This window comes from Homo sapiens, chromosome 12 (genome assembly GCF_000001405.40).
Source record: "Homo sapiens chromosome 12, GRCh38.p14 Primary Assembly".
Taxonomy (NCBI): domain Eukaryota; kingdom Metazoa; phylum Chordata; class Mammalia; order Primates; family Hominidae; genus Homo; species Homo sapiens.
The window spans coordinates 54,392,076-54,419,533 of NC_000012.12; the positions used below are offsets into that span (position 1 = coordinate 54,392,076).

At 52.4% G+C, this 27,458-nt stretch overlaps 1 protein-coding gene and 1 long non-coding RNA gene across 4 annotated transcripts in view, besides 3 other annotated features; one reads left to right on the top strand and one right to left on the bottom strand.

Annotated features, from left to right (window-relative positions):
• Nucleotides 1–27,458, top strand: part of GPR84-AS1 (GPR84, ZNF385A, ITGA5 and GTSF1 antisense RNA 1) — a 113,340-nt gene that overhangs the window by 38,385 nt on the left and 47,497 nt on the right. Inside the window, exons 2-3 of one of the 2 annotated variants that reach the window (NR_120486.1) lie at nucleotides 15,322–15,431; nucleotides 17,475–17,660. This is a non-coding gene — a long non-coding RNA (GPR84, ZNF385A, ITGA5 and GTSF1 antisense RNA 1). The remainder of the gene's footprint in view (nucleotides 1–15,321; nucleotides 15,432–17,474; nucleotides 17,661–27,458) is intronic. The other variant, NR_120487.1, reaches the window with a different exon arrangement.
• On the bottom strand, nucleotides 3,186–27,191 carry ITGA5 (integrin subunit alpha 5). Of its 2 annotated transcripts, NM_002205.5 has the most exons (30): nucleotides 26,906–27,191; nucleotides 19,759–19,889; nucleotides 17,410–17,522; nucleotides 17,157–17,277; nucleotides 16,818–16,879; nucleotides 16,681–16,726; nucleotides 16,035–16,160; nucleotides 15,757–15,801; nucleotides 15,574–15,617; nucleotides 13,795–13,851; nucleotides 13,589–13,641; nucleotides 13,091–13,299; nucleotides 12,628–12,819; nucleotides 12,355–12,400; nucleotides 12,070–12,171; nucleotides 11,836–11,891; nucleotides 11,550–11,704; nucleotides 11,112–11,249; nucleotides 10,908–10,975; nucleotides 10,105–10,255; nucleotides 9,926–10,018; nucleotides 9,701–9,780; nucleotides 9,510–9,590; nucleotides 9,298–9,403; nucleotides 8,771–8,920; nucleotides 7,789–7,872; nucleotides 7,570–7,683; nucleotides 6,522–6,623; nucleotides 5,290–5,412; nucleotides 3,186–4,301 (listed from the first exon to the last, which is right to left on the bottom strand). In NM_002205.5, exons 1-30 carry the CDS (start codon nucleotides 27,121–27,123, stop codon nucleotides 4,218–4,220), a joined length of 3,150 nt encoding a protein of 1,049 aa, NP_002196.4. In that variant the 5' UTR covers nucleotides 27,124–27,191; the 3' UTR covers nucleotides 3,186–4,217. The 2 variants fall into 2 exon arrangements, with proteins under 2 accessions (NP_002196.4, XP_024304738.1); XM_024448970.2 differs by lacking the exons at nucleotides 12,355–12,400; nucleotides 12,628–12,819; nucleotides 13,091–13,299; ... (9 more) ...; nucleotides 19,759–19,889; nucleotides 26,906–27,191 and adding an exon at nucleotides 12,423–12,498.
• Nucleotides 19,376–20,158: an enhancer, noted in NCBI's record as "H3K4me1 hESC enhancer chr12:54805235-54806017 (GRCh37/hg19 assembly coordinates)". NCBI's record gives its function as "activates a minimal SCP1, AML or CMV promoter by ChIP-STARR-seq in primed H9 embryonic stem cells {active_cell/tissue: H9 hESC(primed)}" and the evidence as "EXISTENCE:reporter gene assay evidence [ECO:0000049][PMID:30033119]".
• Nucleotides 19,584–19,723: a silencer, noted in NCBI's record as "silent region_4530". NCBI's record gives its function as "represses an Ori minimal core promoter by ATAC-STARR-seq in GM12878 lymphoblastoid cells {active_cell/tissue: GM12878}" and the evidence as "EXISTENCE:reporter gene assay evidence [ECO:0000049][PMID:35858748]".
• Nucleotides 20,159–20,940: an enhancer, noted in NCBI's record as "H3K4me1 hESC enhancer chr12:54806018-54806799 (GRCh37/hg19 assembly coordinates)". NCBI's record gives its function as "activates a minimal SCP1, AML or CMV promoter by ChIP-STARR-seq in primed H9 embryonic stem cells {active_cell/tissue: H9 hESC(primed)}" and the evidence as "EXISTENCE:reporter gene assay evidence [ECO:0000049][PMID:30033119]".

The following is a 27,458-nucleotide window of genomic DNA, read 5'->3' on the forward strand; positions in this document are numbered from 1 at the left end:
GCTAAATCAGCGGCATTCCCCACTAAGGCGAGCTTCGGTCGAGGAGGACTGGTGGGGGGGCATTTCGTGAGGTGGAGGGGAAGATGGAGGGTAGGACAAAATGTATGAGCAGGGGAGAATGTCAGGAGGGAGAGGAAGTACAGGCCACTTGGAGGTATTCTTTTCTTCTTTTTTCTTTTTTCTTCTTTTTTGAGACCCAAGTCTTGCTCTGTCGCCAGGCTGGAGTGCAGTGGCACGATCTCAGCTCACTGCAACCTCTGCCTCCCGGGTTCAAGCATTCTCCTGCCTCAGCCTCCCGAGTAGCTGGGATTACAGGTGCCCGCCACCACGCCTGGCTAATTTTTGTAGTTTTAGTAGAGACAGGATTTCACTATGTTGGCCAGGCTGGTCTCGAACGCCTGACCTCAGGTGATCCGCCTGCCTCGCTCTCTCAAAGTGCTGGGATTACTGGCGTAAGCCACCGCACGCAGCCCACTCAGAGGTATTCTTAAGGGACCCCAGTACAAGGTAGGAGTCTTGGAGAATGCAGATGTCTGGGGGAGATGGAGGCTGGATCTGTCTGTACTTGTCTCAAGAGGGAGGGTGGCAGCCAGATTTCCCAGAATGCCACACAGCCAGCTTCAGGCCAACCCCAATCAGAGGAAAAGTGGGTGGGAACTGGAACGTTTGAGGTTTAGGGAGGTAGAAGCTGAGGGGAAGAAGTTGGTGAAAGGGTGGTGGGACTGAAGTTTCGGAATGGTTTAGGAAGGGGAAAGAGACTGACATTCCTGGGTTCTGGAGGGAAATTGGGACTGGATGGTCAATTAAGGTGCAGGAAGTTTGAGTTTCTGTTTCTGGGTCCCAGCAATCTCTTGCCCTCACGCCAGTAATCTGGTTTGAAGAAAAGACCTGTTTCTGTACCTGCCAAGACACTCCAGCTCAAGGGAGAGAATGCTGGGAGTGCCAATGCCTTAGTCTCATTCTGATTCAGTGGGGCAGAGATCTCAGGGGATTGGCCTTGGGAGAGGATATGGGGTTTCTGGGTCCATCAGAGGAGGTCCTCCTGCTCTGGGTCTGACCTACCACCATGCTGGTCAACTCCAGTATGAAAAACCCTTGCTTCTCCTTAGACCCTGCACCTCCTTTCCTCTTCCCATTCTTTCTCCTCCTGGGTGGACTCAGAGACTAAACAAGAGCCATCATCAGGCATGGTCGATTGGTTTTAGAGACCCCTTTGCGCTCAGCTGTTGTCCACCCTGCCACACTGCCCCAGGGACTCTGGGTTAGGAAGATCTCAGAAGAGGGGTTGCTTAAGCTTACCAAGGGGAAGCAGCTGGCTAGAGGACGGGGTGACCTTGCAGGCAGCTGGGGTGGGGGGAAGGTGTGTGGGGTGAATTCATTATTGATGAGCCCTGCACCCCGGGCTACTAATGAGCCCAGGCCGGCTGCTCTAATTGATGTCAAGAAACTTGAGACCCCCAGATCAGCTTCCCGCCTGCCAGCTGCCTCTCCTGAGCCCCCTCCCCCTCCCTGCACCCCCAGCTGCTCTGTTCACTTCCTAAGGCCTCCTTTCCTTCTCCTTTTCATCTCCACCAACACAGACAAGGATAGGGCTCAGGCCTTCTAGCCCCCCTACACTTAAATTCGTCTGGATTATTCAAGTCTCAAGGTGGGAGCCACACTTCCTTCGGAGGGTTGGGAGATTTGGGAGAAGAAACTTAGACCAGGAGTCTGAGAATTAGAGCTCAGGGAAAGAGAGGCTCATACTAGATTACATCTGTGGCATTTCTGAGCTCAAGGAATTTCTTCCTTATATTGTGCATCCACGGGTAAGAACTTGTCACTCTCTCAAAAGTACAGGCCCTACACAGTGACACACCCATGACACCAGCCCAATTTTCACAGCCCACTTCCCTTCCTTATTTCCTCCTCACAACAGTGGAAGACATTTTAGGTCTGGCCCCTGGAGTTTGGCTGCTTCTACCCCCACCTCTCTCCCAAGAAGGGGACTCCTCTTAATGTATCAGGTATGGGATTTCCTCCCTCTAGAATTTCTGGTGCCTTGTTATGCCACGGCTGCCATTCTTAGAAATGCTAGGGGGTTCTTTGTCTCATCCTGTCTCTTCTACCCCATCAGCCCCTTTTCATTTGTGGGTTCTGTGAAGACATTCCTGACTCAGAGCATTCTAAGAAGTCACAGACTGGAGTGTGGTCCAGGGTTGGTCTCCCAGGAGGGATATTTTTAGGTGATGCAGGCCCTGCTAGGCAGAAGCCTGAGTTAATGAGAATAGTCCTGGTGATGGGGGAAGAGGGTGAGGTGGACCTCATACCCTACCTTCCCAAATTTCCCATAAATTTGTGGCTATGCTGCCCTCTGGTGGCTGAATTTTAGTCTATCCTGACAGGGACATCTTTGTCTCCAACAACCGCAATTGCTCTCCCTCTTGCTGCCCGTTAGGACAGGCCTTGAGGAGAAAAGAGAACCCTGAGGGTCCCTCACTTTGCGAGATTTATCTTCAAAGATCTGAACCCTGTGGCATGTTGGTTAAGAATTCGGGCTTTCCCAGCCAGATAAGGCTGAGTTTCACTCTGTTCTGCCACTCACTGTGTGACTTTGCACAAGTTATGTAACCTCTCTGGGCCTCAGTTTCTCTTTGTGTAAATGGGATAAATAGTACCAACCTCACAGAACTCTGTGAGAAATTAAATGTGATAATGTATGCAAACTAACACCCCCTACCAGCACACAGTAGCAATGAAAACAAAGCAATACAAAAACCTAACTGGGCTTTCTTCTAATTTAGTTCCGTGGCTTTTTCCTCTCAACTCATTTCATTATTCTGATTTAGGGAAGCCTGGTAAATTTTCTGAACCATCCTCCCCCACCTCCACCTTGGACCTCCCCCTTTGCATTCTGCTCTAATCCTCAAACCCAAAGAGAAGAGGTTCCTTTCCCTTCTCCCTTGGGAGTGTTGGGGACCAGGTCTGATGGGGGATGAGGGAGGGGCAGAGGAGTCAAGCCCTGCTTTCTCTCCTTCCATCACCTCTTTCACCTAAGAAGGGAGCCTAGAACTAGTTTCACAGTTTCTGGGGGGTCATACTTCTGGCTCCTAGTGGAAAGAAGCCATGAGAGAAATAGGCATCTGCTTTCCACCAAGTCGCTTGGTTCCAGGATGGGTTTGGAAAGAGTAACATGAGATCACAGATTCTAGTTCTGGTCAGTGGGGGCACTGGGTCAGATTTATTGCACTTGCAACAGAGTTTAAATAAGTCCTGGGTGTCTGGTGCCAAGGTGAGGGAAGGGTTGGGCAGAGAGATGAGGGGCAGCATCAGTGCAGCTGGCAGGCAGAACCCAAATTCTGCAGGCCCAGGACAGTGGGCTCCCCTTTCTCTGGGGAACAGGGAGGGCCTGTGTCTGGCCAGGCTGAGGTTCCAGATCTGTTGCCATCATGGCCCCTTCAGGGTCCTGGGAAATTCCTGGCTTCTCCTAAATCAGGGTGAACTGGGCCTCCAGGATCAGGTCTGGAGCAGGCCCAAATATAGTCCTGGATCTGCCTGGATTAGGTGCCAATGTCTGAGTCTGGGTTCCAGATCAACTCCAGACCCCAGGCTGGATCTGGCCCCATTTGAGTTCTGATTCCCCTTGGAGCTGGGCTCTGGGCCCTGGGCCAGCATCTATCCTTGTGTGGCATCTGTCCTGAGCTGGTCCTGGGGCACCATGCATAGTTAGTGTTCTTTGTTGGCCCACCAGGGTGGGGCTGTCCAGAGCTGCCAGGTCTTAACTCCCCAAGTTCCAGGTTCTTAGCTGGGGGCTTCTTTTGGATCTCTGGCAAGGCTGAGGACAGATCTTTGCAGGTTGGAGCTGGACAGGAAGTCCTTGTGGCATGTCTGGCCCAAAGAACTGTGAATGGATTTCCTAGTTATCTTTCCAAGTTGTTTCAGGAAACTCTCCAAAATGCAAAGGCTTCAGGGAGGCTGGGGCCTCTGTCCCTGGATCTGAGTTCCCCCATCCATGAAGAGGGTATGTGTAAACAAGGGTCCTTCACAGTGCATGGGGGGGAGGGATCCCCAGCTCCTCACCCCCCTGGCTCTGGCCCTTCAAGTATGTCTCTGGGCTGGGGAGAGGAGCTTCTCCCTGGCCGTCAGCACCTTCAAGAAGTACCCAGACCCCTCCTTTTCAGTAGAATGAGGGTGGGGGGACTGGTTCTTCAGGAATGGGAGTCTGAAATTGGGAGGACTCAGGCATCAGAGGTGGCTGGAGGCTTGAGCTGAGCTTTTTCCATGGCGGTGCCATATGGGAGGGAGCGTTTGAAGAATCCAAGCTGATAAAGGGGAAAAGAGGGAGAGTTTAGGTACTATGGCTGCCATTTCTCCACAGCTCTTATTCCAAGAAGTAATAAGGAGGACTCTAGTGCCTCCAACCTCTACATCCTGCAAAAGTGGCCTCTGAATTCAGGCTAGGACTACCCCTCTAAGTTGTGCAATGGACCCAGGAGGACCAAACTTGGGGGTGATTTTGTATGGGGGGTATCTTTTACCAGTGCCTTTAAAATTCCCCAGTTAAGCCAGAAATGGCAGATAGGTTTGAACTCAAATGCCAAGTCTGATTGCTTAGTAGTGGCTGCTTCTGTTTGTTTGTTTGTTTTTGAGACAGGGTCTCACTCTGTTGACCAGCCTGGAGTGCAGTGGCATGATCATGGCTCACTGTAGCCTCAAACTCCTGGGCTCAAGCGATCCTCCCACCTCAGCCTCCAGAGTAGCTGGGACTATAGGCACGCACCACCAAACCTGGCTAATCTTTGTGTTTTTTTTGTAGAGACAAGGTCCTAGTGTGTTACCCAGGCTGGTCTTGAATTCCTGGGCTCAAGCTGTCTTCCCACCCTGGCCTCCCAAAATGTTGGGATTACAGGTGTGAGCCACCACACCTGGCCATGGCTGCCTCTTGAGAGAGATTCTGAAGCCACTTCTAGGAGATGATCAGTAGCCATTTCTAGGTTAGTGATGGCTGCCATGGATTTTTGGAGAAATTGACAGCACAAATGCCACGTATTTGTCATCTTTGGGTTCCAATGATTTTGCAAGTATAGGCAAACTTATCATCTTGAGTCAAGAGGACCCTTTCTAAGCTAGGGGCTATAGAATGAAGGGGGGGATCTTATAGGAAGGGTTAGGATGGGATGCATGTAGCCAGGACAGAGGTGGGGGCACATGGCTGGTGAACTGGTCTAGAGGTAGATACTTGGGACTGTGCCAGGTCAAGGGCAGAGCCTGATGAGAGGGTGGCCAAGTCACAAGCAGGATGTGGCTGACCTTGTAGAGGATGTAGATGAGTAGACCTAGGAGCAGGAGGCCAAACAGGATGGCTAGGATGATGATCCACAGTGGGACGCCATAGCTGCCTTCTGCCTTGGTCCATTGCACAGCTGTGGCCACCTGGGGAGCAAGTTGGGTGAAGTCAATGAAAGCTCAGAAGTTCTTTCTACCCTATACTTGGCCCCCACTTGTCATTGGATCTGCAGAGCCCAGTGGGCTCCCCTTTCTCTGGGGAACAGGGAGGGCCTGTGTCTGGCCAGGCTGAGGTTCCAGATCTGTTGCCATCATGGCCCCTTCAGGGTCCTGGGAAATTCCTGGCTTCTCCTAAATCAGGGTGAACTGGGCCTCCAGGATCAGGTCTGGAGCAGGCCCAAATATAGTCCTGGATCTGCCTGGATTAGGTGCCAATGTCTGAGTCTGGGTTCCAGATCAACTCCACCTCTTATTTTGAACTAACAGCATTCTGAACTTAAAAATTGAAGTTCCTAAAATGTACAATATTGTCTCTTACTTTCGGGCTTTCATATCATATCCATTTTTTTTTTTTTTTGACAGAGTCTCACTCTGTCACTCAGGCTGGAGTGCAGTGGTGTGATCTCAGCTTACTACAACCTCTGCATCCTGGTCTCAAGCGATCCTCCTGCCTCAGCCTCCCGAGTAGCTGGGACCACAGATATGCGCCACCACATCTGGCTAATTTTTGTATTTTTTGTAGAGACAGGATCTCACTATGTTGCCCAGGTTGATCTTGAACTTCTGAGCTCAAGCAATCCACTTGCCTTGGCCTTCCAAAGTGCTGGGATTACAGGTGTGAGCCACTGCGCTCAGCCTCATATCTGTTATTCACCTCTCCCCAGGATATCCCTTTCCTGAATGGCTAGCCTGGTTAGTTCCTATTTATTCTTCAGGTCTCAGCTTGAACATCACTTCTTCCAGGAAGCCTTCCCTGACCCAGTTAGACTGGGTTCAGGTGTTCCTATTATGTGTTTTCATAAATATCACCACACTTGGAACACTGTGTTGTTCCACGAGACTGTGAACACCAGGAGCAAAGATACCATGTTGATCTTGCTTACCACTCTGTCTCTGGCATCTGCACAGTGCTTGGCACATAGTACATTCTCAACAGTTGTTAACAATACCAAGGCCAGCCCTCACCCAAGTCCCAGCCCTGTTCCAGCACTCTGAGCCCTGTATTCCCTCATCCAGTCCTCTGGCCCTAGACTCACCTGACGCTCTTTTTGGGGCAGCTGCCGAGGCAGGATTCGGTAGGGCATCTTCAGGGCTTTGTACACAGCCTCACACTGCAGGCTAAATGGCTGGTGCTCCCGCTGTGGGTAGGGGAAAGTTGGTTAGCACATCCTCTCTTGGGATCCAGAGGACATAGGGTTCCCCATCGTCTGGCTGGGGTTGTGATCTTTCCCTATTTTGGGCTCATTCTTCCTGAGTCTCTCTCTCTCTCTCTCTCTTTTTTTTTTTTTTTTTTTTTTGAGACTAGGTCTCACTCTGTCCCCCAGGCTGGAGTGCAGTGGTGTGGGCTTAGGTCACTGCAACCTCCACCTCCTGGGCTCAAGCAATCCTCCTGCCTCAGCCTCCCAAGTAGCTGAGACTACAGGCATGTGCCATCATGCCCAGCTAATTTTTGTTTTGTTTTGTTTTTGTAGAAGTGGAGTTTTGCCATGTTGCCCAGGCTGGTCTCAAACTTCTGGGCTCAAGGGATCCGCCAACCTTGGCCTCCCAAAGTGCTGGGATTACTGGTGTGAGCCACTGTGCCTGGCCCGTGAGCTTCTCTTGATGTTCCTTATATGAGATAATAAATGTGTAACTGAATAATTGTAACTTGATAATATATAATTAGATGACTACGTGTTCAATAAAAATTTTTTTAAAATTATTAATGTGCTTTGACACCAGGACAGTGCCTAGCCTGCAGTGTGTGCTCAAGAAGTGACTGCTCTTTACTATTCCTACATGTGTTTACCTCTCCACTATGGATTCATCTTCCATCTTACTGTTTTTCTATCATTCTTTGCACACTGGTCTCCCTCCAGCCCTCCCTCCTCTGAATGGGCCAGGAAAGGGAAGCTGCTGCTCCCACTGTGGCCACTAGATGGCGCCAAGGACATACAGCCTGGTCTAGACAAGGGCAAGGAAGGGGAGCTGGAGTGCTGGGTCCCATTCACCAAAGGAGAGGTGGCTACTGCAGTGGAGAAAGGGGTGGGTCAGTCTAAGCAGGCCCAAAGGTCAGGGGTCAGGGCTGAGGTAAGGCTCCCTCACCTGCAAGAAAGTCTTGGCCCAGACTCGGAAATGCAACTGCAGACTTTGGCTCTCTTGTTGGTGCAGGGGCCCGAGCTCACAGCGCAGCCTGAAACACTCAGCCTCCGGGCATTTCTAGGAAGAAAGAAGCTTGAACCTGGTGTTCTGCCCTTGTGATGGCCCTGAGAACCCCAGAGTACTCAACACTTTGGTCCACACCTCATTCCCTGCCTGACTTACCAGGATCTGAGGTCCCGAGGAAGCAGAGCTGCGGCTTGGAGCTTCCCGTTTTTGCTGGTGGTGCAGGGAACCCTCGGGATCCAACTATAAAAGAAAGTGTTGGGCCCCTTTCCCATCTCATTACAGCTTCTAAGTCAGCTTGCACCTGGGTTCCAGAGCAGCTTCAACCTATTCTTTCATCTATCTCTTTATTGATTCATCCAACTGTCCACCTCCTATGCGCAAGGCACTGAGCTCAGGGTTAAAATATGGAAATGAGGAAAACTTGGTTCTTGGAGATCACACTGGAGGAGATGCTTAAGTAAATAATTAGGTCTGTGTTCCTGTTTTTGCACTGGATGTTCCCTTGGTTTGGAATGCTCATCCCTGAGTCTTATAGACAGGTTCAACCTTATCTTTCAGGCCTCAGTTCAGCTGTGACGTCTTCAAGAGGTTTTTCTATGATCCAATTTAAATAGTGTCCCTACAGCTTATTAACTCTTCACTTCATCACCTTTCAATCCCTGTTAATTTTTCTCCTTCTCTTTTTCTTTTCTATGTCTATCACCCTTCACTAGAATGTAAGTTCCATGAACGTGGAGACCTTGTCAGTTCTGTTTGGTGCAATATTTCCTGGGCCTAACAGTGTTCAGTACAGTCACTTATTTAATTAGATGTTAATGAGTAAATGAACTATAAAACAGGCATTCGGGCCCAGAGGAAAAGGTTTGAAGAAGGCTTCCTAGAGGAGGTGGCACATAACTGGGCCCTAGGGGTATGCCGGGAAACAAAGAAGGGATAGTTCAGGCAGAAAGAAACACAGTGGATGAAAGTCCTTTTTCCTCCAGAGGATTTTGAGGTAACTTTGGGCCTTGTGACCCTCAACCCTAGCTATAGGCACATCCTCATTGCCTCTTGCAGGCCCCCAGCAACCTTCCCCAACCCCTCAGCCTTGGTCCTCTGAATCTGCTCCTCTTCCCCATGCCAGTGTTCAGGATCTCACCTCCAGGCCCTTTGGGTTAATGGGGTGATTGGTGGTGCAGTTGAGTCCCGTAACTCTGGTCACATATAGGAGCTGCTGACCTTCCAGAGCCTGGGGACAGCTGAGTTCCAGCACACCCTGGCTAATGGAGCTGGGGCCTTGGTTGATGAGCTGAGGAGGGAAGAGCACAATCATCATGAGAAGGAAGGGAATGCTTCTGCCCCATTGAGACCCTGGATCACCATGGCTCCACTATACCCTGCTGTCAGGCTCCTATCTCAGAGATGAAGCAGGGAAGCAATGGGCAGAGGTGAAATCCTCTCTAGCCAACACTTTTGGAGGGGGCTCCATCTTTCTTTCCAAGCCACTCAATTGGCCTGTCTCTCCTCTGGCTGTTTCTCACAGGACTCTGCCTCATGCCTTTGCATATCACTTACTCCTCCCTCCTCTCTTTCTCTCAGTCCCTCACATGGGTTCCAGCCATCTGTCACTCATATTAGCTCCTCCTTTCCCATCATTCATTCTGGCCCTGCCCCTTCCCCCCTTACCTCATAGACATGGTGGACAGCAGGTCCCAGGTCCTCCTCCTTCTGAGGCTGGTCTCGGGGATGCCAGTCGCTTACTGGGAATAGCACTGCCTCAGGCTTGGAGACACTAAGGAGGAGGGTGGTTTAGAGGAGGGTGGAAGGAACCCCATATGCATCCTTCCCTAGAAGTCTGTGTCCCCTCTCAGAAAGACCCCATTTTGCCTGGCACTGACCCGTTCAGGGTGACCTGGGCCTGAGCCTCCACGGAGAGCCGAAAGGAAACCACGTCGCTTTGCGAGTTGTTGAGATTCTTGCTGTGGGATGGAGGCAAGACTGAGGTGCTGGAGTGCAGCCAGTGAGAATGGCGCCCAGCCCTCCCTTCCGTCCCCAGCTCAGCCCCAGCCTAGACACACTCACTCCCTACCTGAGGATCTGGAAGTCAAACTGGATGGTTTTCTTAGTGTCCCGGAGATGAGGGACTGTAAACCGAAGGCCACCCCACAGCTGGGGACAGAAAAAGAGGAAAAGAGGGCAGTTAGACTGTGTATTTCACCCTCCCTCCGCACCTCACAGCTGTGCTCTCGGCTGGCTGGTTACCGCCCTCAGGTCTGCTCTCCCTCTGTCCCATCCTCTTTCATCCCAAACTTACACTGGCTCCTGCCTTCATGGGGTTGCCCAGGTCACACACCAGCAGGCGGCTCTGGTTCACGGCAAAGTAGTCACAGCTCAGGCTGGAGAAGTTCTGGAGATGGGGTGGGCACTGGTCAGGTTTTGGTGTCCCCTCTAGAGGGGTATCCTCCCAAATCCCACTCGAGAGTCTCATCTCACCCCTGGGTGTCTGACGAGTCCTGAGTACTCAGCCTCTGGAGGGGCGGTGACCCGAAGCTCAGCCTCATAGGCGCCACCCTCACCCACATTCTGGGCATGGAAAGTGAGGTTCAGGGCATTCTTGTCACCCAGGTACACATGGTTCTGCTCCCTGGAAGGGACACAGAGGGTAAGGGACATTGGTGAATTAATCCTCAAACCAGGACAAAGGACCATTATAAGAGTAGTAATACGAGGCCGGGTGTGGTGGCTCACACCTGTAATCCCAGCACTTTGGGAGGCTGAGGCGGGTGGATCACGAGGTCAGGAGTTCAAGACAAGCCTGGCCAAGATGATGAAACCCTGTCTCTACTAAAAATAATAATAAAAAAATTAGCCCGGCATGGTGGCAGGCACCTGTAATCCCAGCTACTTGGGACGCTGAGGCAGAGAATCGCTTGAACCTGGGAGGCGGAGGTTGCAGTGAGCCGAGATTGCGCCACTGCACTCCAGCCTGGGTGACAAGGGCATGACTCCGTCTCAAAAAAAAAAAAAGAGTAATAATAAAGTAACAATAGACACTGCTTACTGAGTTCTAACTCTATGGCAGGCACTAGGCTAGATTTTTTATGTAGATTATTTCATTTAATCTTTCCAAAAAGTCTGAGAAATAAATGCTACTATTCCCACTATACAGACAAAGGAGTTAAAGCTCAGAGCAGCTCAGCAACTTCCCAAGGCGACACAGCTAGTATGTCCCTAGCTGATTTTTTCAGGTGCCAGGTGCACCTGGAGCTCCCTAGCTTACCGTCAGCCCTACTTACCCAAACACTTCCAGCTGCAGGTCAGGCACACAGATGTTGTCTTCTCCACAGTCCAGCAAGATCTGAGCCTGGGGAGCAGGGCAGCCTTGAGAGGGGAAGTTTAGACCCATTCCTGGGCTGTAGGCTCTTCTCTTTCCATGGCCCTGCCCCCCCAATACCCAGGCCTCTGTCTTCCCAGGTCCCTTCTCCCTGCCCTGTCCTCACCTTGTCCTCTATCCGGCTCTTGCTCTGATAATGTAGGGCTGGCCTGAGGCCGTGGCTGTCCACTGGGGCTTGGGGGTCCAAGGAGAAGTTGAGAGCGATGTGAATCGGCGAGAGTTTGTCTCGAAATTCTGACTCGTTCTGGGGCCAGAGGAGAGAGTTCACGGAGTCAGGGGACTCTGGAGACTTAGTGGCCCTGCTCCTCAGCCTCTCTCATCTCCCTTTGTCTGCTTAGGGCCCAATTCCGACCATCCTCATTGTTTCAGAGGCCCTGGCAGCCTGCTTCCCAGCTCCTCTGACAGAAGGTCTCCCTTTCTCAGCCCCTACAAGAGTCCCAAGCCCTTCACTGGAGTCCCCCAGTCTTTTTCCCTTCAGGAGGTGCCCTCAGTTCTGTGTGGCCACCCTCCCTGGCCAGTCCACACCCCGCCCTCTGGGCCATACCCTGAGGTAGATCTTCATCTCTCTGCAATCCTCTCGAGCCCCATTCTGGATGAGCAGGGTCTGGGTCAGGGTTGCCTGCCTGGAGGCCAGGAACAGTGCCCGCCGTACCCCTCCCTTCTGCTTCTGCCAGTCCAGCTGAAGTTCCACTGTGAAACCTGAAGCCAGGGACATATAAAGGGAAACTGCCTGTCTTTCCTCATCTTTTCAGAGAGAAGAAATGTCCCCAGGTCCCCAGTCCCTTCATTCTCTGTCCTAGGGCCTGAGAGATCCAGGCAGTCTCCCTCACCAATGGAGTCAGCAACGTGTTTTCCAGAAGCATTGAGGCAGAAGCTAAGGTTGATGCTGGAGAGAGACCAAGAAGAAAGCTGGTGAATCCAACTGGAACAGACATCCTATCCTCTACCTATCTCCCAGCCAGACCCAGACTAGGACACCACCATTTTCCCCTTTTTAAGGCAGACTTGGTGCCCCTGCCCACTCCCAGGCTCAGGTCTCTGCAATTTCCTGGGCACCAGCTCACCAGGCCACAGGGTTCCCCTCTAAGCTGCAGCTCCGCTCCTCTGGGTTGAACATGGCGGGGAAGATGGTGAGGGAGGCACTAGCGGACACGATGGGGCGGCCCCTGCCAAGAGTGAATGTGGGGTCAATAGAATTAGGACTCCTCTGTAACCTGGACACAGGAAACTGATGCCCAAGCGCCAGAATGTGTGTCCTCTGCATTGATTTTCCCAACCTCAGCTCTGTTGAGAAATTTCCAGTTCCAGTCCACCCAGGTTGTCCCCTCATCTCCCTTTGGAGCTCATACCTGTATACCACAGCCTTGTCCACACCAAAGGACCCCACAATCAGATCTGTAAGAAGTCAAGAAATCACCTCTTACAGCAAGCCCCAGATCAGGATCCTTTCTTCCTAACCCCTCCTGGTTTCAACGCTCAGGGAGGTTGAAGTGAGAAGACAGCGCCCTCTGTTGGAATTAGCCAGAACTGCACCCAGGAACTTAAGGAAAGGTGCAGAAGAGAGAGTAGGGGTCAGTGACCAGGGAATTTTAAGGTGAAAAGGGGCCTCAGGCACAACTCACCAGGATATCCATTGCCATCCAGGTCTCGGCCTCCTCGAAGGGCAGAGCCAAAGAAGTCTGGGGTGTGGCTGGCTGCCCACAGGGGCTGCAGAACCTGGGAAGGCTTAGAGCCCAGCCCTCCTGGGCCCCCAGGAAATACAAACACTACTCCCTGCTGGGTCTCCCCACCAAAGGGAGCCCCGATGGCCACATCTGGAAGACACAGAACACACACTAGTCAGCAGGCCAGGAATCCATGGGCTCTAATCTCTACTACCAGACCCCAGGACCTAGGATCCTATTTTTTCCCATCTGTCAGTCCCTATATTCTAATCTTCAAATCCCAAGACCCAGACAGTGGGATTTTAACCCCTCGGGAAGTCGTGGAGGTCTGGGTATCTTAGCTGACAGATGCCCTCTCCCCAAATCCCTTCTGACTTGGGCCCCTGCCTCCTCTTTCACTCTCTGAGCCCATGGTACTCACCATTGTAGCCATCCTGGTCCAGGTCCCCCAGGGGGGTCAAGGAGCTGCCAAATCGGCCAAACTCATCATGGCCAGTGAGGGTAAGGGTGGGCGTGGGCTCTATGCCGGCTGGGTGCTGCAGGTAGACGTAGACCCTGCCCACCTCCTGAGGCCGCCCGTCAGGGGTCCGATCCATGAGCAGGGGTGCCCCCACCAGCAAGTCATCCAGCCTGAGGGGAAGGGCAAACCCAGGCATCTCGATACCCTGTCTTGCCACCCCACCCCAATCCTAGTGCTAGAAATCCCGGACACTCTGAATTCCATCACGTCAGAAGACCTGAGGTCTCTGATCATCAGCTCTCAGCTCTTTCCTTGTCCCTGAGCAAGGGGAATGCAGGTATGAGCGAGAGTCTAGAGAAAAAGCCCTGGAGAAACTCTCCTTGCATTTTCTGTCCCATTCCCACTCTTCCCTCTTGGTTCTGGGAGGGTATCACAGTGCGCTCATTTCCCACCACTCACCCGTCCCCATTGACGTCTGTGGCGGCCACTGCATAGCCAAAGTAGGAGGCCATCTGGGGAGGACAAAGGGGCAGCGCTGGGTCAGAACTAGAAGGTTCAATCCACAGGATCAAGAGGGGCTGGGAAGTTGGGCTGACATTATTAGGTCAGGGCTGGGGCTTCGTTGACAGAGGCCAAGCTGGGGTGGGGTTGAGGGGTATCCTTACCTGTTCCCCTGAGAAGTTGTAGAGGGATCGAATGTCTGAGCCATTAAGGATGGTGACCTGGGAGATGAAGAGATAGGCCCATTGGTCCTGGACTCCCAGAATATCCCATGGTTAAAGAACAGATGTGTACAGGACACCCAGGGGCAGGCATTCCTTAGAGACGCAGACCACTGTCCCTAGCTCCCTCTTCAGCTTTGCCCTCATATTCCCACCTCTATGCCAGGTAGTTCCACCCTATGTCTGCTTCACTATTTTTCTCCCTATCAATCACCAACCACTGACAGATTTTGTATTTATCTGTTCGTTGTCCCTCTCTACCCACTAGAATGTAAGATCAATAGGGGCAGGAACTTGATTTTGTTCTTTGCTTTCTCCTCAGAACCTAAAGTCATGCTTGGTGAGTAGTAGGCACTCAATAATAATTATGACTGAATGTGTGCTGGTGCCTCAAACCCATCACGTTCAAAACCTAAGTCATCCTCATCCTCCAGTCCCCCGAACCACAAACACCATTTCTCCCCTATATTCCCTTAGTGACTGGCCCCACCAGGCCTCTTGAATCCTGGTGTGAGCCCTTTCCCAGGACTGCTGGACAGATGTCTTGACAATGTCCCTGCCTCCAGCTCTCCCAGCAGATCTAGGAGGCTACCTCTGGCTTGGAAATCCAGTGGCCCCCTGCAGTCACTGCCCAAAGTCTCAACTTCTTGGCTGGTCCTCCAAAGCTCTGGAGAATCTGGCCCTAACCTATCTGTTTTTGCTCAACCTTTCCATATTCTACTCATCCTCAATCAGCTCATGAGTCTGCTAAGTTGGGCTGAAATTGTTTCCTTTTCTTCCACCTCATTCATGCTCCTGCACAGGATGCCCTCCTGCCTCATCTCTGCTGAACCTTCATAGAACCTTCTCTCATCTGTCCTCTTCCTTTTTAAAAATTTAAAATTTTTATTTCCTGACTCCCCAAACTTGTTACCATCCTTTTCCTAGAAAGGAGATTATTCTTTCCCCTAAACTGCTATGCCACTGTATCCACTTTGCTGAAGTTTACCAAAATGCAGAAAGAATGCTGATTTTGGATTAAGAGAGACCTGATTTTAAACCTACTTACTAACTGGGTGATCTTAAGCAACTTACTTGGTCTCTTAGAACCTCAGTGTTCTCATATGCAAAATACAGATGATAATATCTACCCCATAGGCTTGTTGTGAAGAATAGAAATCATGAATAGATAGTGCCTGATGCACTGAGTAGAGAATGAATAGTTGCTCCACTTTAGATCATAATTGTATGTGTGTCTTATCTAACATACTTGATTAGAAGCATCTTATAAGATGGGGTATGATACCTTATTCATCTTATCTCTTACCTTGCCTTAATAAATGTTGTTAATTGAATGAAATCCGATGGCACTCTTATCTGTATCTTTTAAAAAGCACTTGTCCTGGTCTAATAATAACATCTGCCAGTTGTACATTGCCTAACAATTCACTGAGTACTTTCACATGCATTTTCTCATTTCATCCTTGCCAGAGCCTCGTGAGGTCAGAACGATTGTTATCCCAGTATACAGAGAAGAAGAAGGCTCAGAGAGGTTCAGCAGGAAGCAGAGTATGAATAAAGAGCAGAATGATTCTGCCAGAGTAAGTGCCAGAACTTGAATGCCAGTCTGCCTCCAGAGCCCATGTTCTGATCCACCTTTTTGAGCCCTTGCAAACTGCCATGCACGGTTCTTTGTGATTAGGCAGGGGAGGAGAGGAAGTGAGGGGTCAGGCTGGGTCTTACATAGCCGTAAGTGAGGTTCCCTTTGGGCACACCAGCAACAAAGTCTGCAAAGAGAAGAGAAAGTTGTGACCTAAGGGTGGGGAAAGGGAAGCAGATAATGGTAAGTGGCCAAGTTCATGGGCTCTCTGGCCCTGTGCCTCTAACCATCCCCCTCCCTTGGCCCCAGCCTGGGGACACACTCACCTTCTGTGTCATCACCACTGAATTCACCAACAGCCACAGAGTATCCTGGGGGACAGGGTGGGTGGATGTTAGGATTCCTGCTTTGAGGACCCCTCTGCTCTGGCCTATCCACCAATCCCTTCCCCACCCCTACTGGGCCTTCATAGTCAGCAGGCACATGACAAGTATGGCAGGGGTGCTGGGGATGCCTGAGTAGGAGAGGGGAGGCGAGGGGGTGAGTGGGGACAGGAGCACTTGAGGTTCTCCCTCTGCCATCCCTTCCCCACTTGCTTGCTCACCTAGGTAGCTGTCATCATAGATGGAACTGGCCTGGCGAGTCTGCAGCTGCCCCTGAACCAGGTTGATCAGGTACTCGGGGTAATAAGATTCTGCAATCTGCTCCTGAGTGGCAGACAGGATCTGGCCTGGAGAGAGTATGAAGAGGGAGTAGATGGAGAGGAAGTGGCAGAGGGGGCTTGGGACTCTGGGGGCTGACTGGGTAGTATTTCAGAAGTCTGGTTCAAGAAAGGGAAGCATGGGGAGGGTGGTGGCATGTAAGCTTCAGGAAAGGAAGAGGAGAATTGGGAGTAGGGTGGGAGGCTATGTGCCAGGGGACTTAAAGAATGGCAGAAACAGGCAGGGCGCGGCGGCTCATGCCTATAATCCCAGCACTTTGAGAGGCCAAGAGGGGTGGATCACGAGGTCAGGAGTCCAAGACCAGCCTGGCCAAGATGGTGAAACCCCTTCTCTACTAAAATTACAAAAATTAGCCAGGCGCGGTGGCAGGCGCCTGTAATCCCAGCTACTTGGGAGGCTGAGGCAGGAGAATCGCTTGAACCTGGGCAGCAGAGGTTGTGCCACTGCACTCCAGCCTGGGTGACAGAGTGAGACTTCGTCTCAAAAAAAAAAAAAAAAAAAAAAAAGAATGGCAGAGACAGGACTTACCTTGCCAGAAATAGCTTCCTGGTCCACCTAAAACCACACGGCCAGTCTGTGGGTGAAAGGAGGGGAGTCCAACATCTGGTCCCAATCCCCCCATGTCCACCACCCACGGCCCCTTCTCTCCCAGACCACTCTCTCACCTTGGTGAACTCGGCACTGAAGCCTCCTTGGCAGTAACCCTGTCCTGCTGCCCAGCTGAAATCTGTGAGGGGAGAAGGTGGTGAAAATGAGCCCTGCATAGATGGGTCATCCAGGAAAGAAGAGAGGGCATAGGGAAGGAGGTGGGAGAGAGAACCAGAGAAAGGGCCTTCCTGGACCAGACAGTAAGCATAAAGGCTAACGAACTGGGTTAGCCTTTATCTTAAGCAACCTAGAACCTCATGGGGGCACATGGTAGGTGCGAGTCAACCCTAAGTATGTGAGACACTTCAAGTATATGAGAAGGCAGACATGGGGCACAGGCCCCCTCTTGCCCCTACCTGAGCGGCAGGGTGCATACTCCAGAATTCGGGTGAAGTTATCTGTGGAGAGGTAGCAGGTGCCCACGGGGTCGCTCAGTGGCTCCTTCTCTGTGCGCCAGCTGTACAGTGGAGCGCATGCCTGGGAGGGCCCAGGAGGAGGGGCCTTCAGATTCAGTCCAATAAGGCCCTTCCTCCCTCCCTCCAGGCCCGGCCTTACCCAACCACTGCCCATCCCCTGGCCACCACACCACTGAGCTTGCTGGCCCCTCACCAAGATGGAGGAGCCATGGGCTCGAACTGTTGCCCCGAACCACTGCAAGGACTTGTACTCCACAGGCTCCTCTCCCTCTGAGCTGGACAGTGAGGACTCCAGGAGCCGAGAGCCTTGTGGAAGTGAGAAGGGGGAGTCTTACTGAGCCATGGACATTTGAGCTCTAGGGCAGCCCCTACCCTCAGCCTGGGGATACCCAACAAACGCTTCCAAGCCCTGAGACTCCATGACTCGCTGGGAGTGTGGAATTGGTAAGGAGCTTAATTCTGCTTTGTGTAGTCTGTTTGTGTAGCCTGACTTATCTCTCCACTACACACATACACATACACACACACACATACATACACACGCACGCACACGCACACAGAACCTGGGCTTTCTTTTTTTTTTGAGATGGAGTCTCACTCTGTCACCCAGGCTGGAGTGCAGTAGCATGATCTCGGCTCAGTGCAACCTCCGCCTCCCTGGTTCAAGGGATTCTCCTGCCTCAGCCTCCTCAGTAGCTGGGATTACAGGTGCGCGTCACCACACCTGGCTAATTTTTGTATTTTTAGTAGAGACGGGGTTTCATCATGTTGGTCAGGCTGATCTCGAACTCCTGACCTCATGACCTGCCCGCCTCAGCCTCCCAAAGTGCTGGGATTACAAGCGTGAGCCACTGCGCCCGCGTAGAACCTGGGCTTTCTAGAGTTGCCTCCCCAAGGTTCCTGCTTTCTCACCCAACTGAGACAAGGATGCCTGCTGTGGAGCAGGGGCAGGAGGATGGTGGGGAACAGTGGCTATTTCCCAAGAGAGTAACCCTTTGGCTGCACTTCTTTGTCTATACTTGGACTGTGTCTCTAACACCATCTTGTTCCACCTCCTTTTTTTTTTTTTTTTGAGATAGGGTCTCACTCTGTTGCCCAGGCTGGAGTGCAGTGGCGTGATTATGGCTCACTGCAACCTTGACCTCCTGGGTGCAAGTGATCCTCCCACATCAGCCCCCCAAGTGGGTGGAAACTATACCCAACTAATTTTTGTGTTTTTTGTACAGATGGGGTTTTGCCATGTTGACCAGGTTTATTTTAATTTTTTTTTTTTTTTAAACAGGGTCTTGCTCTGTCACTCAGGCTACAGGGCAGTGGGGCAAGTAGCACTCATTGCAGCCTTGGCTGCAGTGACGGAGAATCACTCAAGTGATTCTCCCACCTCAACCTCCCGAGTAGCTGGGACTACAAGTGCTCACCACTATGCCTGGCTAATTTTTTTTTTTTTTTTCTTGAGACAGAGTCTTTCTCTGTAGCCCACGCTGGAGTGCAGTGACATGATTTCAGCTCACTGCAATCTCTGCCTCCTGAGTTCAAGCAATTCTTGTGCCTCAGCTTCCCAAGTAGCTGGGATTACAGGCAAGTGCCACCATGCCCGGCTAATTTTTGTATTTTCAGTAGAGACGGGGTTTTGCCATGATGGCCAGTCTGGTCTCAAACTCCTGGCCTCAGGTGATCCACCTGCCTTGGCCTCCCAAAGTGCTGGGATTACAAGCATGAGCCACCACACCCAGCTCTGTCTAATGTTTTTGGTAGAGACAGGGTCTCACTATGTTGGCCAGGATGGTCTTGAACTCCTGGGACCAAGTGATCCTCCTGCCTCGGCCTCCCAAAGTGCTGGGATTACAGGCACATGCCACCGTGCCCAGCCTGTCCAGTTTTTATTTCTGGAGACAGATGGCCCTAGTTCATATCCTCTCTCCAATGTTTGCTAGCTGTATAACCTTGGATAAGCTACTTACCCTCTGTCTCCTCACTTAGAAAATGGGGATAATAATACCTTATACAGTTGTTGAAAAGATTAAGTGAACTAATATATGTAAAGTGTTCACAACTGGGCCTGGCACAGAGCAACTGATAGCTGTTAGTCTCCATCTTCCTCCCATCCATCTGTGTCTACTCAGACCTTGAGCTCCTTGAGGGCAGTGGCTTAGTCATCTTTCAGTCCCTGCAGCACCAGCACAGTGCCTGTCATGCACTGTCACTTAGTCAGTACTTAGTTAAAGGAACTGAATAGTTTGTGCAACATTCCCTGTCTTTGTCTGTGTTACGGCCCTGGCCTCCCAGAATTGTGGGTGATTCAGGGGAAATGAGAGCCACATGTTTCTGAATCATGCCCGTCCTCCTTGGGCTGGGCTGGATGGGAGAGTGGAGTGAGTGCCATGGGGATCCACTGTAAGCAGTTGGAGCACCAGAGCTGGTGCTGAGAGGTCACGTGGCCGGGGTTCCAGCAGGCTCCACCCCTCGCCCCAGGCCCCACCCAGGCCTTGCCCCCAGGCTGCAGTCCCACCCCCCAGTCCCTCCCTGAATTTCACTGGCCTACCTTTGCTGTCAAATTCAATGGGGGTGCACTGTGTGGGGCTGGCACCCCAAGGACAGAGGTAGACAGCACCACCCTGCAGCACTCCTGGCTGGCTGGTATTAGCCTTGGGTGCTCCCACCAGCACACTGACCCTGTGGGGGGGAAAAGCGAGGCAGTTGAGGATGGCTCCTAGCTTTTCATTGGTGTCTGGAGGCAGGAAGGACCCAGGCCTCTAGGCTGGGGCTGGCTGGGGGTGGAGTAGATGCCCCCTGCGTTGTATTTATATCTCAGAAGATGCCACAGATGCCAGAGGCACAGGCTGGAGTCAGGCGGTCCCCATGTGCCGCTGTCACTAACACAACCCTCCCCTCCTCCCGCCATTCTCTGTCCTCTCCTACCTTATCCTGTTCATAAAGAGAGGAGGAACCACAGTCAATTTCTAGAAGGGGAAGAGGGGCCAGAGCCTGTACCCCTGGCTTCTCCCTCTCCTCTACGTACCTGCTGAGATTAGATGTATAGCTTCTGGAGCGCCAAGGTCCTGTGGAGCCTCAGGGTCTCTCATCTAGCCTATATACTCTCCTCCCAAGCCAAATCCCCTCCCTGGGCCAAGACCCAGGCATCCGGCTGCCCAGCCACCCAGCCTTGGGGCGTGTAGGAGGAAAATGTGAGTCTTGGAAATCAGGCAGCAGGAGTGGAGAGAGGAGCTGGAGGACAGTGAAAACAGATTGTTCCACTGGGCCTGGGCCTGCCCTCACCCCGGCCCTGGTGTGGGCCTCCCCTTCCTGGCTGGGTCTGTGTTTCAGCCCTTGAACCCCTTTCCCATAGACCACCCCCAGCTGACTGAATTCAGAGTCTGCTCTACCGGGGTCCCAGTTCTGGACACAGTGCTTCTGTTCCCCCTGATATGAGGGGAAGTTTGCCCTGTGTAATGGGGTGGTCATAGCTAAGGGCCTGGGCAGTCCTCCTGCCGTCAGCTCTGCCTCATTCATCCCTAGGTCTCTTGCCTCCAAGACCTCCACACCGCTCTTGGCTCTCTTGGTTTCCCCTAAGGGTCTCCTGCCAGGACTTGTATCTGGCAGCCTGGGCAACTCGACCCAGCCTCTGGACCAGTGCTCCTGCCAGCCTTGGCCTCTGCTCTGCTCTGTGTCTGCCTCTGGCACTGCTTCTCAATCCCTCTGTCCCTCTGCCCCTATGACTGCTTGCTCTCTTGGTTTTGGTTTTTGAATCCTATCTCTCTATCTCAGATTTTACATTTCTCCATCTCTATTGGTTTCTGTTCACTTTCAGCTTTCAACCCGTCCAATACCTACCCTTTCCCTGATATTTGAATACCTTCCTCAGCTTTCTCACTAGGCAAGAAGGCCCAAAGTGAAGGATTATGGTAGAGGTCACAAGAGCTGGGGGTATTTTCCAAGAAGACCAGGTATACTGAGGCGGGGAGGAGTGGCCCAGGAGGTATAGGGGATGGAAGCAGCAGAGAGGACAGGTCCGAGGGGACGGAAGAGGAGAGTGAGGAGGGGTCTGTGAGGGCCAGTGGTGAGAATGGAGGGGAGAGAAGGCAGGGTCCAGAGGAATAGGAGATGGGTAGGCTGAAGAGGGAGAGCTCCTGAAGTTAGGAGGGGTGGGGAGGGGAGGTGCCAGTCTCCGTTACTCTGGGGACAGGAAATGTTTACTGCCTGTGGCTTCCTGTCTGTTTCCAACCTCTCACTTCTCCGTTTGTCTCCCACACCCCCACCTCCGTGCCAGGCCCCACCCTTCTCACTTAGGCATGACATCCACTTGTGGGGTCTGGCTGCACCGCCCTAGGGCTGGGTGATGTGAGAGAAGGAGACCCCTCTCTCAGCAGGGGCAGCCCCCAGAGAACTTGGTTGCTGCCTTCAGGCTCTAGAAAGCAGAAAGGGCCACCAACCTGAACTAGACCAGAACAGCAGAGGTACAGGAAGCAGTGAAAGGAGCACTGGACCAGGAGCCAAGAGTTCTGGTTCAGGCACTAACTGTGGACTTGGGCAATACCCTCTCCCTCTTCCTCTGGGTGAAGAAGAGGTTCTCTCAAAGTTTCCTGGAGCACAGGGCTAAGGCCAAGGGACCCTATTCCTGCTGCCAATTTCTCCAACACCCACTGCTCTTGGAGAGGAGCTGAGCCTGACACTCCTGGGGTGGCCTGAGGAAGTAGCCTGGAGTTTAGCAGGGTTGCAAGACAGAGAGTTTACAAAGCTTGTAAAGCCCACAAGCCAGGGGCATATCCATTCCGGCTGTGCGATGGTTCAGGATACCTGGCATGCAGGCAAGGGACACAGACCTAGGCCTCCTTTCCTCCCGGCACACTACCCATGGCTTATTCCTGGACAGGCAGTGGCCCTTCCATCCCAGCAACCTAAAGTCAATCCAATAAATAGTGCCTCCCCTGCCAACACGCCAAGTGAGGTGACTGGTGCCATGGATGGCATGCAAGCTAGTTTGTCCTTATTTTCCCACATCTTTTTCCTGCTTCCTAAATCCTGCAGCAGTTGGGCACTTTTAGGGGTCTAAGAAGGTAACAATGGAGGGTCCGTGTGCTATTTTCAATATTTCAGAAAGCCTAACGGAAATCATGCATTTACCAGATAAGGTGGCCTAGGCTAATTAAAACCTCAAGTGTATTTGCTTTTGGCTGGAATTATATCAACTTATGTGGGAACCTGGTTATCTCATGCTGGTCAGAAACTCTGATTGGCAGCTATAGATGTTTTTGGTTAATAAAAAATGAGAAAAGCGCCAGGTGCGGTGGCTCACGCCTGTAATCCCAGCACTTTGGGAGGCCGAGACGGGCAGATCACGAGGTCAGGAGATCGAGACCATCCTGGCTAACATGGTGAAACTCCGTCTCTACTAAAAATACAAAAAAATTATCCGGGCGTGGTGGCGGGCGCTTGTAGTCCCACCTACTAGGGAGGCTGAGGCAGGAGAATGGCATGAACCTGGGAGGCGGAGCTTGCAGGGAGCCGAGATCACGCCACTACACTCCAGTCCAGAGACAGAGCGAGACTCCTTCTCAACAACAACAACAACAACAACGGCCAGGCGTGGTGGCTCACGCTTGTAATCCCAGCACTTTGGGAGGCTGAGACAGGCAGATCACCTGAGGTCGGGAGTTTGAGACCAGCTTGACCAACATGGCGAAACCCCGTCTCTACTAAAAATACAAAATTAGCTGGGCGTGGTGGCACATGCCTGTAATTCCAGCTACTCAGGAGGCTGAGGCAGGAGAATCGCTTGAACCAGGGAGGTGGGGGTTGCGGTGAGCCGAGATTGCGCCATTGCATCCCAGACTGGGCAACAAGAGCGAAACTCCGTCTCAAAAAAATAAAAAATAAAAATAAAAAGAATGAGAAAAGGAATTCATTATTTCTTACTAAATGCAGGTTGGCAGGTACACTTTTCTGAAATAGAGTCTGAGAGAAGAAATAACTGCCAGAATTTATTCTGAAGCCTCAGAAATGGAAGGGTTGGTCCTTGGAGACACAGACTACCACAGCTAGAAGGCACTGTAGAGAGCATCCACTGGTTTTAAGACTTCACTGTAGGTGCCTGAGGCCACATGGCATAAAGGCAGACTGGCCTCGTTCTGACACTCCCTAAGAAAAAGTTCAAAGCTGCTCACCTCGTCCCATGTTCTCATTCTGCAGATGGGAAAACTATCTCAGAGGAGTTAAGTAATGGGCTTAGGTCACTCATAATCCCTCCCAGAATATGAAGCAGAAATCAGGAATCCTGATTTCTACGACAGCATTCTAGTCTACCCCATTGCCAACTTATTCCCTCCTCTCATATCTGCTATCTCCCCAGCTTTTGATTAACCAAGTCCCAGTTCAATACTGGGTTACTGTTTGACTCTGTTGGCCTGACAAGGTCAGGGGTGGAGAGCAGCAAGTGGACCAGCGCCCAGCTCCTACAGGTCCTACAGCAGCATGGGCCAGGCCAGAGGAGGACACCTGGTTTGGGGTCCCCTAGTGCATTCACAAGGGATATGTATGATTGGCTGGGGAAGAACAGCTGTCTCCACTTGTGGCAGTTGCAGAAGGGAACAAGGAGCTGAGCTGAGACTGGCCTGCCTCTCAAGCTTTCAAGTGTCCTGGGCCAAGTCACTGCCTCTCTTCAAGCTTTGGATTCTCTGGCATAAAATGATGGATTTCCCTTGAATGTTTCCTAAACTAACTTCTGGTTCAAAATTTCTATGACTCCTGAAGCCTCAGTTGTTTTTATTTTTTGTTTGTTTGTTGTTGTTTTTTTGAGATGGAGTCTCACTCTGTCGCCCAGTCTGGGGTCGCTCAGTACAGATGTGATCTCAGCTCACTGCAATCTCTGCCTCCCAGGTTCAAGGGATTCTCCTGCCTCAGTTTCCCGAGTAGCTGGGATTACAGGTGCGTGCCAGCACGCTCGGCTAATTTTTTTATTTTTAGTAGAGATGGGGTTTCACCATGTTGGCCAGGCTGGTCTCGAACTCCTGACCTCAGGTGATCCACCCACCTCCGCCTCCCAAAGTGCTGGCATTACAGGCGTGAGCCACTGCACCTGGCCAGCCTCAGTTTTTGTATATCTAAAAATGGGGCAATAATGCTTCCTTTGCTTTAACACAAGGATTTTTGTTACAATCCAATGGAAAAATCGATATGAAAGTGCTAAAGGAATATGACAGACTATTGTTACTATCACTAGTATAAGCAAATACTCAAAGCAAGTAAGAAATGAGGGAACTAGGCGGTAGCCAGGAAGGAGAGAACCAGAAACAGAAACAGCTACCCCATAAAAACCATGCCGCCCATGTATTGATCACTCTCTGTGGACCAGGTTCCTTTTGTATATGTTTTCTCATTTAGTCCTCAGAACTCCGTTAGTCAGGTGTCTGATTTTCACGGGAAGACCAGGCTCCAAGAGCTTAAATACCTCTCCCTAGGTACTAGGGTACCACGCAAAAAACTAGTAAGTAGTGGGGACTCACACCTACCTCTGTCTGACTGAAAGCTTTGCCCTTTCCTACCATCTAACTGCTTTGGTGCTCGCCCTGTCCTTTAATACTATTTTGGTGTTCACCACAAGAGGTGATGCAGGAAGAACAAGAACACTGAGGCTCTCCCTCTTTGGCAATGGCTGTAGGTGAGGGGCTGTGTTTGTCTTGTGTTGTGGGAAAGGGGGTGAAGGCCTAGCTGTGGTGGGAGGAGGTCACTGGGGAGGTAGAATGTTCCACTGTAAGAGGGTATTGTAAATAGGAAATGAGAGGGAAGGAGTGCAAGCTGGACACCTGGGTTCTCTTGGGAGGGGAGATGAGCAGAAGGGGAGGGGGAAGGGATGAGAGAGCTAGGTCCTGTTTTAGAAGAGGACTTTAGGGACTACAGGATCAGGCCAGGGGCCAGACAGACACCTAGGGGACCAGGAATGTGTGAAGTCCAGATGTTTTAGAGGAGTGTTTTAAAGGGAAATTTAGGGGAGGGGGGAGTAAAGAGAAGGTTAAATGCCAGACAACTAGATACTCTGATCTGCGGGAGGAGACCTCATCCCCTTCCTCCTTCCCTCTTTTCTACTCCATTAGGGCTGTGATAAGAAGTTTGAGGGAACCTGGGGGAGACCAGGCCTGGCAGAGGCTCCAGGCCAGGGTGATGATGCAATGGGGTTTGGGCAAAAGGCCAGGGGGGTGGGGTGGGGGTTGGGTGGGGACCTTGAATAGCCCAGAACAACAGTCGGGGCCTAATCATTTTTCTTTTCTCCCATCCCCAAGTCCTCCAGACAAAGGAGAATTTGCCTTTCTCCCCAGTTGTATTAGCTAGATTAACCCCTTTTCTCCAAAAACTATAGGGACTGAGTAGAGATCAGTTAACTGTCTCATGTGTAAAAACAGGTCGCTTCTGACAGAATTCCCCTCAAACCCTGAGATCCTGGGGTTGGGGTGGGGGTGAGCAGTAGGAAGCTCCCAGCTCAGAGATGTAGAAGAAAAAGGATTACACCAGTCATTGTGGAGGACCAGGAATCTGGCATCTATGGCCTAGCCCAGGAGCAACCACCTACCTCTCTTGCTTCCCAATCTCCCCGCCATCCCACATTTAAACAGACACCCTTGGTTCTAATGTTGCTTCCACTCTAACTCCTGTTTCCCAAGCCTGTCAGTACCCCATTTTCTAGGCACTCGGGGTCCGGGTCTGCTTATCACTGTGCTGAGTTGGGAATAAGGATCCTCCTTTGAGATTTCCAGGGTCCTGAGTCCTTCATTCTGACGTTCTTGGCCCCACGGAGCCCCCGTCTCCCCAGCTTCCGACCCCAGCCCCAGAAGTCCCGGTCTCAGCACAGCTCCAGCCGACCAGCTACAGGAAACCAGCTTTTCTCTTCCTCCCAAGAGCCAGAGGAAGAGGGAAACCGCCCACCCCCCTTCACGCGCGCACACACCCCTCCCGACACATCCCAGCACCCGCCCTTGGCTGAGTTCGCCCCCAGCCCCAGGGCCCCAGTGCCAGGGTCCCCGCACTCGCCCCCAGTTCTCGGATCCCCTCGCCTGAACAGAGATTGGGGGCGGAGGGAGGAGTAGGAGACAGAGGAGAAAGGAGAGGGAGCCGCCGTCCTCTCTCGGGTCTTTCCCCGGTCTGAGTTGAGGGGGGAGGGGAGGATGAGGCTGGCCCCCATTTAACCTTCCGACCCCCTCAGTCTTTGACTTTCCTCCTACTACACGTAGCTCATTCGGCTTCTACCCGTTCTCTCGCCGCACAATGGCCCCTACGGATCCCGAGGTCTCCTGGAGCCCCCAAAAGCCCTTCCCGGCCTCTGCGCCCCCTCTGCGCCCCCACCCGCCCCAGGTCCCAGCAGCCCACAGACTTCAGCCAGAGACCCTCAGCTCTCCATTCACGCGCTCTCCTCTCCCTTGGCCCGGAGACCCCTGCCCAGACTTCTCCAGCTCCGTGTCCTCTCCCCACCGGACACATGTCTCCCCACTGATCTCAAACGCCAGGGCCCCTCCTCACCCGCCACGGTGCCCTCCCTACTCCAGCGCGGGCCCCCAACTCTAGCCAGGGCCCCCAACTGCAGCTCTATTCCTTACAAACTCCACCCTCAAACTTAAGCCCTGGTCCCCTCCAGACCCCAGCCGCGCCCCCAGTCTCCAGGCGGCTCCCCCACCCCCATCCCGTCTCCAGCCCTCCTCACTCACCCGTCTGTTCCCGGCCGGTAAAACTCCACTGAGAATCCGAAGAAGGAGCCCGGGGGCCCCGAGAGTACTGCTGGGGCCTCCGCGTCTAAGTTGAAGCCCCCGACCCTGGGTGGCGGCGGCAGCAGCAGCAACAGCAGCGGCAGCAGCGGGGGTCGGCGCCGGGGGCCCCAGCGCAGCTGCACGGCGTGGAGAGGGGACTCTGGCGTCCGGCTCCCCATAGCGCCCGCTCTTCCCTGTCCTGGGGCCACCGACCCGGAGCCGCTTCCTAAACCTCCCAGAGGCGAATGACTCAACGCGGGGAGGAGTTTGCCAAACTCCCGGCTGAGCCCTCCCCCCGCCTGCCGAGGGGGCTGGCGGGGGGGCATTCCTGGGTCCCTGGAACTCTGAGCCCGCGTCCCCCACCCCTAAGGGGCGTGGGGGGGGGGCGCACCCCTCCAACCCCCTTTCCCCAGCCCCAGCTGGAAGCCGGTTGTCTGGACTGGGTTAGACTGGGCGGGTTTGGGTTCTTCCCCCTCCTCTCTGCTTCCCCCTCCTTCCTCCCCATTCCTTTCCA

Excerpts from the sequence above, each read along its gene's own strand:
- ITGA5 (NM_002205.5), bottom strand. The coding sequence starts at position 27,123 with ATGGGGAGCCGGACGCCAGAGTCCCCTCTCCACGCCGTGCAGCTGCGC. Across the intron at positions 13,852-15,573 it reads GGAACCTCACTTACGGCTAT|GTCACCATCCTTAATGGCTC; the intron begins GTAAGACCCAGC and ends TTCATCTCCCAG. Across the intron at positions 13,300-13,588 it reads ACAGACGTCAATGGGGACGG|GCTGGATGACTTGCTGGTGG; the intron begins GTGAGTGGTGGG and ends CCTTCCCCTCAG.